The sequence below is a fragment of the Homo sapiens genome, chromosome 2, assembly GCF_000001405.40.
Source record: "Homo sapiens chromosome 2, GRCh38.p14 Primary Assembly".
Lineage (NCBI taxonomy): Eukaryota > Metazoa > Chordata > Mammalia > Primates > Hominidae > Homo > Homo sapiens.
The window spans coordinates 183784171-183800954 of NC_000002.12; positions in this window are offsets into that span (position 1 = coordinate 183784171).

Sequence of the window (16784 nt, forward strand, 5' to 3'; positions counted from 1 at the left end):
CATATAGTATATATGTGTGTGTGTGTATGTGTGTGTGTATATATATATTTCTATCTCCCTGGAGAGTATTCACTCATCTGTCTATTCATTTCTAACTTTAAAAATGTGTACATATTGCCTAATATTAATCATTCTCATGCTGTTTTTGTGTCTCTGGGTTTATTATGATAAGTTTGGCAGATAGACCCTTCCTCCTGAAGTATATATAGGAAATTACATTAATGAAGCAATTATACAGGAAATACCTATTGGCAAAATATAGTTAAATGGAGGAGACATATAAGAAACCTTAGAGCTTATAACAGGGCAAACTAACCTGGGCTTAACTGAAAAACTGATATTGGAACTGACATCTGGAAAATTATTATAACTCAAGTAGGAAAAGAGTTGAGCTAGGAAAGAGTATTCCAGAGGACGCACTATATTCTTTAAGAGTCTGAGGTAGACAGAAGCATAGCTAATTAGTGGAATTGAAAGAGGGACCCTTGGCTGGAGCAAAGTGAATAAGAAAATAATAATCTGAGATGACACTGAAGAAGCCGATAGGGAAAAAATCATTCATCTATAATGTCCTCTTAGCTCATGTCACATGTTTTTTCTTTTTCTTTATTCTAAAAGCAAACCATTTTAATCTAGAGAGTAATATGATCAGTTTTTCATTTTAAGAAAACTTTATCCTGTAGAGAATGGATTAGAGGGGGGCAAGAGAGTATGGAGAGCTAAGGTAAAAAGGGGATTCCTAGTCCATGCTGGACATGATAATATATGGGAGTCGTAACAGTGGAGTCAGAGACAAGTTGATGGGTTACAGGAATATTTAGGAAATAAAGTTTATATGATTTGTGGATAATTGGAATGGAAGATGAAGGAGAACGATGTATCAAAAGATGATTCCCTAGCAATCGGCCTGCAGAGATGGTGGACTAATTTAGAAGAAATGAGGATGAGTGCAATTTTAGATATGTGGAATTTGAGGTTTTTTTCAAGGAAAGTGTTGGTGGAAGTTTGATAGATAGGTTGTTACTTAAGCAACAGTTCCAGACTGGGAATAAATATGTGTAGATTAGAATAAGCAAAAAGAAAGGGTAGAATGGGAAGAGGAGACTAAAATAAAATCTTGAAAAATTCACACATTTAAAAGTTGAGTTGAAGAAGATGGGCTGGTGAAAGAAATTGAAGAGTAGATTAAAAGAGGACAATTTTCCATTAGATTTAGCAACATGGAATTCATTGTTAGAGTGATTTGTTTTGATGGCATAGTGGCAGGGGATGCATGGAAATGAGTTGAAAGTGTAAATAATATATGGAAAAAGAGAAACAATGATGATAAATAACTCTTTGAGAAAGTCAGGAATGTACCTATTGGAGAGATGGAAGTATTTACAAATTATAGATGTTCAATAAATACTTGTCCAATGATCAAACGAGCAACTACATTTATTACATGATTTCTTTTAAATGATTAATATTGAAAGTAACTAGTGTTGAATTCTTGCTATTTATTAGGTCTTTCATTTAATCCTTCTCAATCATCTTGTGAGATGGATGATATTGTTCTAATTTTTCATATATGCAAACTGAGATTCAGAAAGGTTATACAGTGGCTCATGTTCACACAGCTAAAACATAGCAGATCAGGAACCAAGTCCCTCTTCACAGTCTGTTCTCTTCCTGGAAAATGTCAACTTATTTGATGACAATAGCCTATTTCCTATATGGGGAGCAAGTCCTAAGAATATACTTTCTGGGCTTAACTTTCTCGGCCCTTTCACAGACAGGTGAACACAACAGGCAGTAATTGCTAAGAATTAGGATGACACCAAAGGCTTCATAAATCTTGGTTCTTTCTTTGTGGAACATTTTAATTCAGTAGAAGAATGTCTTCTAACTTTATTGGTATGATGTATCTTCAAAAACCTGCTCATAAAGGTGCTCTTTTCACCTAAAGTAAAGAGGAAAGACCCAATCCTAACAGAAGTGTAGAATGCTGAGTTTTGACTACCTATTGCTCTTTCGTTCCAGTGGTATGTGGAGCAAGTATCTTAGAGGTATCTTAGAGGAGCAAGATTATGAGAATTCACTTCTTTATAGAGATTTTCTTTTCTTCTCCTAGTTGCCTGAAGGATGGTAAATGTTGGAAATAAAATACTTTCGTGGTGTTTAACCAGGAAGTTTGTGTATTTGTATGTTTCTCATTTTGAGATAAAAGTAAAAGCAACCTAATATGAACCCCAATATTAAGACAGAAAATATTTCAACCTCAGCCCAGAATTCATTTACCATGAAGGGAGAATTCTCATAGGGTTATGTGGGCAAAATGAAAGATTTTCCATTTTCAGTTGCCACTCTTTGTTACACTGCTGTGCACTGCAGTGGCTGCTTTGGGACTAGAAGCTACAAAGTTTTACACTTTTCAAAAGATAAAACACATCCGACATCATAACACATCAACCACTGTTAAAAATGGTAACTTTAATTAATTGTCATCATTCTTTTTTACAATTTCAGTAGGTTTGAGTTGTAACTCATGGTGAGCTCAGTGAGAGGATAGCACATACATAATTCACTTTTACTAATGCAGATATCTTTGATTTTCTTCTTCCTTATCATTAGGCTCTTAATACACTGTGCATGTATCTTTCGAAGTAGCTGCTATTCTATTGTCAAGAGAATTCTTTCTGTTCTCAGAGATCCACTAGAATAGTGTTCATTCTTTTTTTTAAATTATGTATTAGTTCCCATTTGTTATAATGGGCTAATGAATTCTGCACTTAGGGGTAAAAAAATTCAGAGAAGCCTCTTTTTATATGTTTACATTTAATTTTTTCCTATGCAAACGTCAAATTTCTAGCCCTGTCACTAAAATTTATAAGGATTTACTGCATGTAAAAAGACAGTGGCATGGTGCCTTAATATTAATTATCTTAAGTGAGTGAAACATATATAAAGAAGTCTCACAGAGTATTTATTTATAAATAATCCTTAAAAATAAATCAAGTTAAAGTTTTTTTCTGGGTAAAAATGGACAGTGGTAAGAATAAGCAAAGAATAATAGTTTTTACAATTTTTTTTTATCTTTGTGAGTAGAAACATCTGGAAATGAAATAGATTGAAACTACATACTGCTTTTTCTCTCCCTTCCCTTTTCTTCAAAGATAAAGAATGCTTCAAAGAGTGCTTTTCCTTTTTTATAGCAATAAAGGTTGTTATGTGCCATATATTCTATGTCACATACATCTCGATAAAAGATTAGATAATATGTATTCTATTAAAATAGGGTTTTCCCTTTAAAATTTTTACCTAGTGTAAGTTAATGTATTATTATAATAAAAATAATATGCCAAATATTTCTTCTTAGGGTCACATTGTCTAAAGCCTCAGAAATTTGGTCAAGCAGAAAATTTCAGTCTTACTTATAGTACCTGTGGTTTTTGCAGTCAACTTACAGCAAATACTTTTAAGAAAGGAAATAATTATACAAGAGATCCTGACCAATGCTTTGGTCTCTCTCGTCCTGCACCACTGCCATTACATTGTTCCTGGATTTTGAACTTGACTTCCTTGGTAACCTTATCTTCCTGGGCAGCCAGTCTTCTGCCATTATGGCTATTTTCCTGACCACAGCTGCTAGTGTCACTATGGCTGCTCCACAAACTCGCTTTTCTCTTGTCTTAAGTGAGTAGATTTTATTTTTTGAAGTCTATCTCAGAATCTTGACATCTATATAGTTAAGTGTTTTCTGTTTTGTTTGTTTTTAGCTCCCAAGGAGTAGGCAGATTTTTAAATTTGAATCTTTTCATCTGTCAATAAATTCAGATCAGATACTGGGGTTCATGAACAAAGTGTTACATAAGCCACAAAATCCAGTTTAAATCTCAAAGAATTTCTGGTTAATTTTGAAATTTAAGAATTCATGTCTGTTGAACCTCCTCAATCCCAGGCAAGTTTTTTTTAAATCTTCCTAAAGTGCTATTTTATCCTATCCATAGTTCAAACAGCCTTCATTAGTTCTTTTTAATTTGAAACTCTTAATCCCAGTGTCTTTACCTTCCCTCTGAAAATATCCTTTATAATTTCTTCTACACATTCTACAGTCTGCCCCACAAAATAATAATATTTTATCTTATGCATATTTCTTTGAATTATTGAGGTTGAAATGTATTTTGGATTTCATTGTTAACACTGGCTGTAATTATTACTATAGTCAAAGCTCCATGCCAACATAGGGAAGAATGAAATACAGAGAATGCTCTCAAAGGGCAAGTTGCTGTTAAAATATATAAAATAAAAAATTAGTAATTAATCATTTATAATAACTTTTGTGTTCTATTTTTCAAAGAAAGTCTCAGCTAATTTCAAGAAATTTCCATCCTATATATTCTGAGACCATGATTAATATAATTAAAAATCAACAGAAATGCTAAAATTCATTTGATTAGAAGTTTGTGAATGTGGGAGGTGGTTCCAAGATGGCCGAATAGGAACAGCTCCAGTCTACAGCTCCCAGCATGAGTGACACAGAAGACTGGTGATTTCTGCATTTCCAACTGAGGTACCGGGTTCATCTCACTGGGGCTTGTCAGACAGCGGGTGCAGGACAGTGAGTGCAGCCCACCAAGTGTGAGCCAAAGCAGGGCGAGGCATTGCCTCACCTGGGAAGCACAAGGGGTCAGGGAATTCCCTTTCCTAGCCAAGGGAAGCAGTGACAGATGGCACCTGGAAAATCGGGTCACTCCCACCCTAATACTGTGTTTTTCCAATGGTCTTAGCAAATGGCACACCAGGAGATTATATCCCGTGCCTGGCTCAGAGGGTCCCACCCCACGGAGCCTCGCTCATTGCTAGCACAGCAGTCTGAGATCAAACTTGAAGGCAGCAGCTAGGCTGGGGGAGGGGTACCCGCCGTTGCTGAGGCTTGAGTAGGTAAACAAAGTGGCCAGGAAGCTCGAACTGGGTGGAGCCCACCACAGCTCAAGGAAGCCTGCCTGCCTCTGTAGACTCCACCTCTGGGGGCAGGGCATAGCCGAACAAAAGGCAGCAGAAACCTCTGCAGACATAAATGTCCCTGTCTGACAGCTTTGAAGAGAGTAGTGGTTCTCCCAGCACGGAGTTTGAGATCTGAGAACTGACAGACTGCCTCCTCAAGTGGGTCCCTGACCCCCAAGTAGCCTAACTGGGAGGCACCCCCCAGTAGGGGCAGACTGACACCCCACACAGCCAGGTACCCCTCTGAGACAAAGCTTTCAGAGGAAGGATCAGGCAGTAACATTTGCTGTTCAGCAATATTCACTGTTCTGCAGCCTCTGCTGCTGATACCCAGGCAAACAGGGTCTGGAGTGGACCTCCAGCAAACTCCAACAGAACTGCAGCTGAGGGTCCTGACTGTTAGAAGGAAAACTAACAAACAGAAAGGACATCCACACCAAAATCCCATCTGAACGTCACCATCGTCAAAGACCAAAGGTAGATAAAACCACAAAGATGGGGAAAAAACAGAGCAGAAAAGCTGAAAATTCTAAAAATCAGAGCGACTCTCCCCCTCTGAAGGAATGCAGCTCCTGGCCAGCAATGGAACAAAGTTGGAAGGAGAATGACTTTGACGAGTTGAGAGAAGAAGGCTTCAGACAATCAAACTTCTCTGAGCTAAAGGAGGAAGTTTGAACTCAAAGCAAAGGAGCTAAAAAACTTGAAAAAAGATTAGAAAAATGGATAACTAGAATAACCAGTGTAGAGAAGTCCTTAAATGACCTGATGGAGCTGAAAACCATGGCACGAGAACTACGTGACGAATGCACAAGCTTCAGTAGCCGATTCAATCAACTGGAAGGAGACATATCAGTGATTGAAGATCAAATGAATGAAATGAAGTGAGAAGAGAAGTTTAGAGAAAAAAGAGTAAAAAGAAGTGAACAAAGCCTCCAAGAAATATGGGACTATGTGAAAAGACCAAATCTAGGTCTGACTGGTGTACCTGAAAGTGACAGGGAGAATGGAACCAAGTTGGAAAACACTCTGCAGGATATTATCCAGGAGAACTTCCCCAACATAGCAAGGCAGGCCAACATTCAAATTCAGGAAATACAGAGAACACCACAAAGATACTCCTCGAGAAGAGCAACTCCAAGACACATAATTGTCAGATTCCCCAAAGTTGAAATGAAGGAAAAAATGTTAAGGGCAGCCAGAGAGAAAGGTCGGGTTACCCACAAAGGGAAACCCATCAGACTAACGGCGGATCTCTCGGCAGAAACTCTACAAGCCAGAAGAGAGTGGGGCCCAATATTCAACATTCTTTTTTTTTTTTAATATACACCACATTTTCTTTATTCATTTGTTGATAGACACTTAAGTTGATTCCATATTTTAGCCATATTGAATAGTGTTGTGGTTAACATGGAGGTGCAGGTGTCTTTTTAATGTAATGATTTCCTTTCCTTTGGATAAATTCCCAGAAGTGGGATTGCTGGATCATAGGTAATTCTATTTTTAGTTTTTTGAGAAACCTTCATACTGTTTTCCATAATGGCTGTACTAATTTACAATCTCACCACCAGTGTATAAGAGTTCCCTTTTCTCTGCAACCTTGCCAGCATTTGTTATTTTTTGTCTTTTTTTTTTTTTTTTTAGATGGGCTCTTGCTCTCACCCAGTCTGGAGGGCAGTGGCACAATCAATCTCAGCACACTGCAACCTCTGCCTCCCAGGTTCAAGAGATTCTCTTGCCTCAGCCTCCCAAGTAGCTGGGATTACAGGTGCATGCCACCATACTCAGCTAATTTTTGTATTTTTAGTAGAGATAGGGTTTCACTGTGTCGGCCAGGCTGGTCTCCAACTTGTGACCTCAACTGATGCACCTGCCCTGGCCTCCCAAAGTGCTGGGATTACAAGCGTGAGCCACCAAGCCTGGCCTATTTTTTGTCTTTTTGACAATAGTATTTTAATTGGGGTGAGATTATATTTCATTATGGTTTTGATTTGCATTTTTCTGATGATTACTGATGTTGAGCTTTTTTTACATACCTGTTGCCTATTTGTCGTCTTCTTTTTTTTTTTTTTTTTTTTTTTTTAGTATTTATTGATCATTCTTGGGTGTTTCTTGGAGGGGGATGTGGCAGGGTCATAGGATAATAGTGGAGAGAAGGTCAGCAGATAAACACGTGAACAAAGGTCTCTGGTTTTCCTAGGCAGAGGTCCCTGTGGCCTTCCACAGTGTTTGTGTCCCTGGGTACTTGAGATTAGGGAGTGGTGATGACTCTTAAGGAGCATGCTGCCTTCAAGCATCTGTTTAACAAAGCACATCTTGCACCACCCTTAATCCATTTAACCCTGAGTTGACACAGCACATGTTTCAGAGAGCACGGGGTTGGGGGTAAGGTTATAGATTAACAGCATCCCAAGGCAGAAGAATTTTTCTTAGTACAGAACAAAATGGAGTCACCTATGTCTACTTCTTTCTACACAGACACGGTAACAATCTGATCTCTCTTTCTTTTCCCCACATTTCCCCCTTTTCTTTTCAATAAAACCGCCATCGTCATCATGGCCCATTCTCAATGGTCGCTGTCTCTTTGGAGCTGTTGGATACACCTCCCAGATGGGGCAGCTGGGCAGAGGCGCTCCTCACTTCCCAGACGGGGTGGCTGGGCAGAGGCGCTCCTCACATCCCAGACGATGGGTGGCTGGGCAGAGGCACTCCTCACTTCCCAGATGATGGGCAGGCTGGCAGAGACGCTCCTCACTTCCCAGATGGGGCAGCTGGGCAGAGGCGCTCCCCATTTCCCAGATGATGGGCAGCCAGGCAGAGGCGCTCCTCACCTCCCAGATGGGGCGGCCGGGCAGCGGTGCTCCTCACCTCCCAGACAGGGTGGCAGGGCAGAGGTGGTCCTCACCTCCCAGACGGGGCGGCTGGGCAGAGGTGCTCCTCACCTCCCAGATGGGGCGGCCGGGCAGAGGCCCTCCTCACTTCCCAGACGATGGGCAGCCAGGCAGAGGCGCTCCTCACCTCCCAGATGGGGCAGCTGGGCAGAGGCGCTCCTCACTTCCCAGACAGGGCAGCTGGGCAGAGGCGCTCCCCACTTCCCAGATGGGGCGGCCGGGCAGAGGTGCTCCTCACCTCCCAGATGGGGCAGCTGCCGGGCAGAGACGCTCCTCACCTCCCAGACAGGGCGGCTGCCGGGCAGAGGCACTCCTCAGTTCCCAGATGGGGTGGCCGGGCAGAGGCGCTCCTCAGTTCCCAGATGGGGCAGCTGGGCAGAGGTGCTTCTCACCTCCCAAACGGGGTGGCGGCCGGGCAGAGGCACTCCTCACATCCCAGATGGGGCGGCCAGGCAGAGGCGCTCCTCACTTCCCATTCGGGGCAGGTGGGCAGAGGTGCCCCTCACTTCCCAGATGGGGCGGCCAGGTAGAGGCGCTCCTCACTTCCCATTTGGGGCAGCCAGGCAGAGGTGCTCCTCACTTCCTAGACAGGGCGGCAAGGCAGAGATGCTCCTCACATCCCACACCGGGTGGTGGCTGGGCAGAGGCGCTCCTCATTTCCCAGACGGGGTGGCAGCTGGGCAGAGGCACTCCTCACTTCTCCCAGACAGGGTGGCCAGGCAGAGGCGCTCCTCACTTCCCAGATGGGGCAGCCAGGCAGAGGTGCTCCTCACATCCCAAATGATGGGTGGCCAGGCAGAGACGCTCCTCACTTTCTAGATGGGGTGGCGGCTGGGCAGAGGCGCTCCTCACTTCCCAGATGATGGGTGACCAGGCAGAGATGCTGCTCACTTCCTAGACGGGGTGGCGGGCGGGCAGAGGCTGTAATCTTAGCACTTTGGGAGGCCAAGGCAGGAGGCTGGGAGGTGGAGGTTGTAGCGAGCCAAGATCACGCCTCTGCACTCCAGCCTTGGCAACATTGAGCATTAAGTGAGCAAGACTCCGTTTGCAATCCCAGCACCTCAGGAGGCCGAGGTGGGCAGATCACCTGAGGCCAGGAGCTGGAGACCAGCCCGGTCAACACAGCAAAACCCCATCTCCACCAAAAATACAAAAACCAGTCAGGAGTGGCAGCGCCTGCCTGGAATCCCAGGCACTCGGCAGGCTGAGGCAGGAGAATCACGGGAGCCCGAAGCAGGGAGGTTGCAGCGAGCCAAGATCACGGCAGTACAGCTTCAGAAGTGAAGGAGAAATAAAATACTTTACAGACAGGCAAATGCTGAAAGATTTTGTCACCTCCAGGCTTGCCCTACAAGAGCTCCTGAAGGAAGCACTAAACATGGAAAGGAACAACCAGTACCAGCCACTGCAAAAACATGACAAATTATAAAGATCGATGCTAGGAAGAAACTGCATCAACTAACGAGCAAAATAACCAGCTAACATCATAATGACAGGATCAAATTCACGCATAACAATAGTAACCTTAAATGTAAACGGGCTAAATGCTCCAGTTAAAAGACACAGACTGGCAAACTGGATAAAGAGTCAAGACCCATCAGTGTGCTGTATTCAGGAAACCCATCTCACGTGCAGAGACACACATAGGCTCAAAATAAAGGGATGGAGGAAGATCTACCAAGCAAATGGAAAACAAAAAAAGGCAGGGGTGGCAATCCTAGTCTCTGATAAAACAGACTTTAAACCAACAAAGATCAAAAGAGACAAAGAAAGCCATTACTTAATGGTAAAGGGATCAATTCAACAAGAAGAGCTAACTATCTTACATATATATGCACCCAATATGGGAGCACCCAGATTCATAAAGCAGGTCCTTAGAGATCTTCAGAGAGACCTAGACTCCCACACAATAATAATGACAGACTTTAACACCCCACTGTCAACATTAGACAGATCAACGAGACAGAACGTTAACAAGGATACCCAGGAATTGAACTCAGGTCTGCACCAAGTGGACCTAATAGACATCTACAGAACTCTCCACCCCAAATCAACAGAATATACATTCTTTTCAGCACCATACCACACCTACTCCAAAATTGACCACATAGTTGGAAGTAAAGCACTCCTCAGCAAATGGAAAAGAACAGAAATTATAACAAACTATCTCTCAGACCACAGTGCAATCAAACTAGAACTCAGGATTAAGAAACTCACTCAAAACTGCTCAACTACATGGAAACTGAACAACCTGCTCCTGAATGACTACTGGGTACATAACGAAATGAAGGCAGAAATAAAAATGTTCTTTGAAACCAACGAGAACAAAGACACAACATACCAGAATCTCTGGGACACATTCAAAGCAGTGTGTAGAGGGAAATTTATAGCACTAAATGCCCACAAGAGAAAGCAGGAAAGATCTAAAATTGACATCCTAACATCACAATTAAAAGAACTAGAGAAGCAAGAGCAAACACATTCAAAAGCTAGCAGAAGGCAAGAACTAACTGAGATCAGAGAAGAAATGAAAGAGATAGAGTCACAAAAAAACCTTCAAAAAATCAACAAATCCAGGAGCTGATTTTTTTTGAAAAGATCACAAAATTGATACACTGCTAGCAAGACTAACAAAGAAGAAAAGAGAGAAGAATCAAATAGACACAGTAAAAAATGATAAAGGGGATATCACCACCGATCCCACAGAAATACAAACTACCATCAGAGAATACTATAAACACCTCTATGCAAATAACTAGAAAATCGAGAAGAAATGGATAAATTCCTGGACACGTAACCCTCCCAAGACTAAACCAGGAAGAAGTTGAATCCCTGAATAGACCAATAACAGGCTCTGAAATTGAGGCAATAATTAATAGCCTACCAACGAAAAAAAGTCCAGGACCAGAGAGATTCACAGCTGAATTCTACCAGAGGTACAATGAGGAGCTGGTACCATTCATTCTGAAACTATTCCAATCAATAGAAAAAGAGGGAATCCTCCCTAACTCATTTTATGAGGCCAGCATCATCCTGATACCAAAGCCTGGCAGAGACACAACAAAAAAAGAGAATTTTAGACCAATATCCCTGATGAACATCGATGCAAAAATCCTCAATAAAATACTGGCAAACCGAATCCAGCAGCACATCAAAAAGCTTATCCACCATGATCAAGTGGGCTTCATCCCTGGGATGCAAGGCTGGTTCAACATACACAAATAAATAAACGTAATCCAGCATATAAACAGAACCAATGACAAAAACCACATGATTATCTCAATAGATGCAGAAAAGGCCTTTGACAAAATTCAACAACCCTTCATGCTAAAATCTCTCAATAAACTAGGTATTGATGGGACCTATCTCAAAATAATAAGAGCTATTTATGACAAACCCACAGCCAATATCATACTAAATGGGCAAAAACTGGAAGCATTCCCTTTGAAAACTGGCACAAGACAGGGATGACCTCTGTCACCACTCCTATTCAACATAGTGTTGGAAGTTCTGGCCAGGGCAATCAGGAAGGAGAAAGAAATAAAGGGTATTCAATTAGGAAAATGGGAAGTCAAATTGTCCCGGTTTGCAGATGACATGATTGTATATTTAGAAAACCCCATTGTCTCAGCCAAAAATCTCCTTAAGCTGATAAGCAACTTCAGCAAAGTCTCAGGATACAAAATCAATGTGCAAAAATCACAAGCATTCTTACACACCAATAACAAACAAACAGAGAGCCAAATCATGAGTGAACTCCCATTCACAATTTCTCCAAAGCGAATAAAATACCTAGGAATCCAACTTACAAGGGATGTGAAGGACCTCTTCAAGGAGAACTACAAACCACTGCACAAAAAAATAAAAGAGGACACAAACAAATGGAAGAACATTCCATGCTCTTGGGTAGGAAGAATCAATATCGTGAAAATGGCCATACTGCCCAAGGTAATTTATAGACTCAATGCCATCCCCATCAAGCTACCAATGACTTTCTTCACAGAATTGGAAAAAGCTACCTTAAAGTTCATATGGAACCAAAAAAGAGCCCGCATTGCCAAGACAATCCTAAGCCAAAAGAACAAAGCTGGAGGCATCACGCTACCTGACTTCAAACTATTCTACAAGGCTGCAGTAACCAAAACAGCATAGTACTGGTACCAAAACAGAGATACAGACCAATGGAACAGAACAGAGCCCTCAGAAATAATACCACACATCTACAACCTTCTGATCTTTGACAAACCTGACAAAAACAAGAAATGGGAAAAGGGTTCCCTATTTAATAAATGGTGCTGGGAAAACTGGCTAGCCATATGTAGAAAGCTGAAACTGGATCCCTTCCTTACACCTTATACAAAAATTAATTCAAGATGGATTAAAGACTTAAGTGTTAGACCTAAAACCATAAAAACCCTAGAAGAAAACCTAGGCAATACCATTCAGGACATAGGCATAGGCAAGAACTTCATGTCTAAAACACCAAACGCAAAGCAAAATTGACAAATGGGATCTAATTAAACTAAAGAGCTTATTCACAGCAAAAGAAACTACCATCAGATTGAACAGGCAACCTACAGAATGGGAGAAAAATTTTGCAATCTACTCATCTGACAAAGGGCTAATATCCAGAATCTACAAAGAACTCAAACAAATTTACAAGAAAAAAACACACAACCCCATCAACATGTGGGCGAAGGATATGAACAGACACTTCTCAAAAGAAGACATTATGCAGTCAGAAGACACATCATCACTGGTCATCAGAGAAATGCAAATCAAAACCACGATGAGATACCATCTCACACCAGTTAGAATGGCAATCATTAAAAAGTCAGGAAACAACAGGTGCTGGAGAGGATGAAGAGAAATAGGAACACTTTTATACTGTTGGCAGGACTATAAACTAGTTCAACCATTGTGGAAGTCAGTGTGGCGATTCCTCAAGGATCTAGAACTAGAAATACCATTTGACCCAGCCATCTCATTACTGGGTCTATACCCAAAGGATTATAAGTCATGCTGCTATAAAGGCACATGCACACGTATGTTTATTGCAGCACTATTCACAATAGCAAAGACTTGGAACCAACCCAAATGTCCATCAATGATAAACTGGATTAAGAAAATGTGGCACATATACACCATGGAATACTATGCAGCCATAAAAATGATGAGTTCATGTCCTTTGTAGGGACATGGATGAAGCTGGAAACCATCATTCTCAGCAAACTATTGCAAGAACAAAAAACCAAACACCTCATGTTCTCACTCATAGGTGGGAATTGAACAATGAGAACACTTGGACACAGGAAGGAGAACATCACATACCAGGGCCTGTTGTGCGGTGGGGGGAGTGGGGAGGGGGGAGGGAAAGCATTAGGAGATATACCTAACGGAAATGACGAGTTAATGGGTGCAGCATGCCAACATGGGAGATGTATACATATGTAACAAACCTGCACATTGTGCACATGTACCCTAGAACTTAAAGTATAATAAAAAAATAAAACAAACAAACAAACAAACAAACAAAGAAATTTGTGAATGTACTCCTAAATAACTCATGGAATATTATGTGCTATGGTCTGAATGTTTGTGTCTCCCAAAATTCATATGTTAAAATTCTAACCCTTGAGATGATGATATTATGAGGCAGGCCTTTTGGGAGGTGAATAGGTCATGAAGGTGGGGCTATTCTCAATGATTAGTGTTCTTATAAAAGAGGCTTAAAGAGATCCCTTGCCTTTTCCACCATGTGAGGATGGAATGAGAAAATGCTGTCTATTAACTAGAAAGTTGCTCTTCACCAGACAGACACTAAATCTGCCAGCACCCTGTACTTGAATTTCCCTGTCCTCAGAACAAAGATATACGTTTTTGTTATTTACAAGCTCTCCAGTCTGATATGTTGGTATATCTCAAATGTACTAAAACATCACAAATGGACTAAGGCAATGAGAAAATCAATATGGACATGAAAATATTGAGCAATAAACCAAAAAAAAATCCTACATAAAATTTCTACAGAATAAACTTAGTTTATTAGTACTAAGCTAAAGCATTAATTAAAGAAAAATGTACAGCCTTAAATTTATTTATTAAGGGCAGAATTAATGAAAACTCAACAACATATGCATGCAATTTAAGAGGATAGAAAAAGAAAAGTAAGGTAAGTATAGGTAAATAAATAGTAAAGAAATGATAATATTAAAAAAATAAAAAAATGAACAAAATTGTATTCTTTGAAAATGTTGAGAAAATTTGACAAATTATTTTTATAAATTTCCATTTTAGTTTTAGATTCAGGGTGTATGTATGCAGGATTTTTACAAGGATATACTGCATAATGCTGGGGTTTGGGCTTCAATTGATCTCATTACCCAGATAGTGAACATAGTACCTAATAGGAAGTTTTTCAGTCCTTACCACCCCCCCACCTCCTTTTGGAGTCCCTAGCATTTATTCCCATCTTTATGTTTGTACATACCCCAAATTTAGCTCCCACTATAAGTAAGAACATGCAACGTTTGGTTTTCTGTTTCTGCATTAATTCACTCAGAATTATGGCCTCCAGCTGCATCTATGTTGCTGCAAAGGGTGTGATTTCATTTTTTTTATGGCTGTGTAGTATTTAATGATATGTATGAACCACATTTTCTTTATCCAGTTCACTGTTGATAGGTATCTATGTTGATTCCATTTCTGCTATTGTGAATAGTTCTGGCTGGGGTAAGGTGGTATCTCATTGTGGTTTTAATTTGCATTTCCTTGATTAGTGATACGGAACATTTTTTCATGTTCGTTGGTCATTTGTATATGTATATATTTTTAAGTATCTATTCGTGTCATTTTCCCACTTTTGATGGGATTATCTGTTTTATTCTTGCTGATTTATTTAAGTTCCTTGTAGATCCTGGATATTAGTCATTTGCTGGATGTGTAGTTTGCATATATTTTCTCCTGCTCTGTGAGTTTTCTGTGTACTCTGATGATTATTTCTTTCACTGTGAAGAAGCTTTTTAGTTTAATGAAGTCTCATTAATTTATTTCTGTTTTTGTTGCATTTGCTTTTGGAGTCTGAGTCATACATTATTTGCCTAGCTTTCTTTCTTATCTAAGTTGTTTTGAGTTTTCAGTCTTGCATGATTCTGTATATATTTTATGTTATTTTATTATATTTTGGTGAAAATGTCATTGGAATTTTAATAGTGACTCCATTTGATCTTTAAATCACGTTGAGTATTATAGACATTTTTAGTAATTTTATTTATTCCAATTCATGAACACAGGATTATCTTTCCATTTATTTGTAACTTCAATTTCTTTTATCAGTGTCTTATAGTTTTGGTCATGTAGAATTTTTACCTTCCTCATTAAGTTTATTCCTATCTATTTTATTATTTTGATAGTCAGATAAGTAGAATTGTTTATTTTTCTGTTTTGGGGGTAGTTCATTGTTAGTGTATGAAAAGTAAGTGATTTAGATATGTTGATTTTGTTTTACAACTTTACAGCATTTTTGTCTTCTTTACTTTCTTTGGTAGATTCTTTAAGACTTTCTATATATAAGACTGTCAGCTGAAAACAGTCAATTTTACTCTTTCTGATTTGGCTAATATTTGTGATGTTTTGTAACCTAATTGCTCTATAATTTTGGTACTATGTTGAATACAAATCATAAAGATGGGCATTCTTGTTCCTAATCTTAGGGAAAAGATTTTCTTCTTTTCACCAGTAAGTATGATGTTAGCTATCGGCTTTTCATATGTAATCTTTATTATATTGAAGCACATACCTAATTTGTTGAGAGTTTTTATTATGAAAGGATGTGGTTTGTCAAATGCTTTTTCTACCTCTATTGAGTTGACTATATCCAAAGTTTGTCCATCATACTGTTAATGTGGTCTATCACATTTATTTGTTTGCAAATGTTGAATCATTCTTGCATTGTCCTGTATAAAAACCACTGGCTCATATTGTGTGATCCTTTTGTTGAATGCGGTTTGTGTTTGTATTTTTTTCAGGATATTTGCATCTATTTTCCTCAGGGATATTGGCCCGTAATTCTTTCTTTCTTTCTTATAGTGCCCTTCTCAGGCTTAGTTATCAAGGTAATAGTGGACACATAGAATAATTTTGTAAGTGTTCCCTCCTTTTCTATTTACTTGGAAGAGTTTGAGAAAGATTGCCATTAATTTTTCTTTGAATGTTGGGTAGTATTTAATGACAAAACCATCAGGTCCTGGGCTTTTCTTTGCTGGGAGACTTTTAATTATTGATTCAGTTTTCTTAGTTGTTATTAGTCTATTGGGATTTTGTATAACTATATGATTCAGTATTTGTAGGTTATATGTTTCTCCATATTTACGTGGCCAAGAAACATATGAAAAAAAGCTCAAGATCACTAATCATCAGAGAAATGCAAATCAAAATCGCAATGAGATACCATCTCATGCCAGTCAGAATGGCGATTATTAAAAAGAGAGGAAACGATAGAAGCTGTGCATCTATTGCACAGCTGTGCAAATAGGCTGTGGAGAAATAGGAATGCTTTTACACTGCTGGTGGTAATGTAAATTAGTTCAACCATTGTGGAAGACAGTATGGTGATTCCTCAAGGATCTAGAACCAGAAATACCATTTGACCCAGCAATCACATTACTGGGTATACATCCAAAGGAATATAAATCATTCCACTAAAATGAAAGGACACTAACAACATAAAAGTGTATAAAAGTCTAAAACTCATTGGTAATGGTAAATATATAGCCAAATCGAGACTACTGTAATACTGTAAGAGTGCTTGTTGCAAAATCACTTAACTCCAGTATAAATGTTATAAGATAAAAAATATTTAAAATAACAGAAACTCTAATGATTTGTTAATGCATACATAATACATAAAAG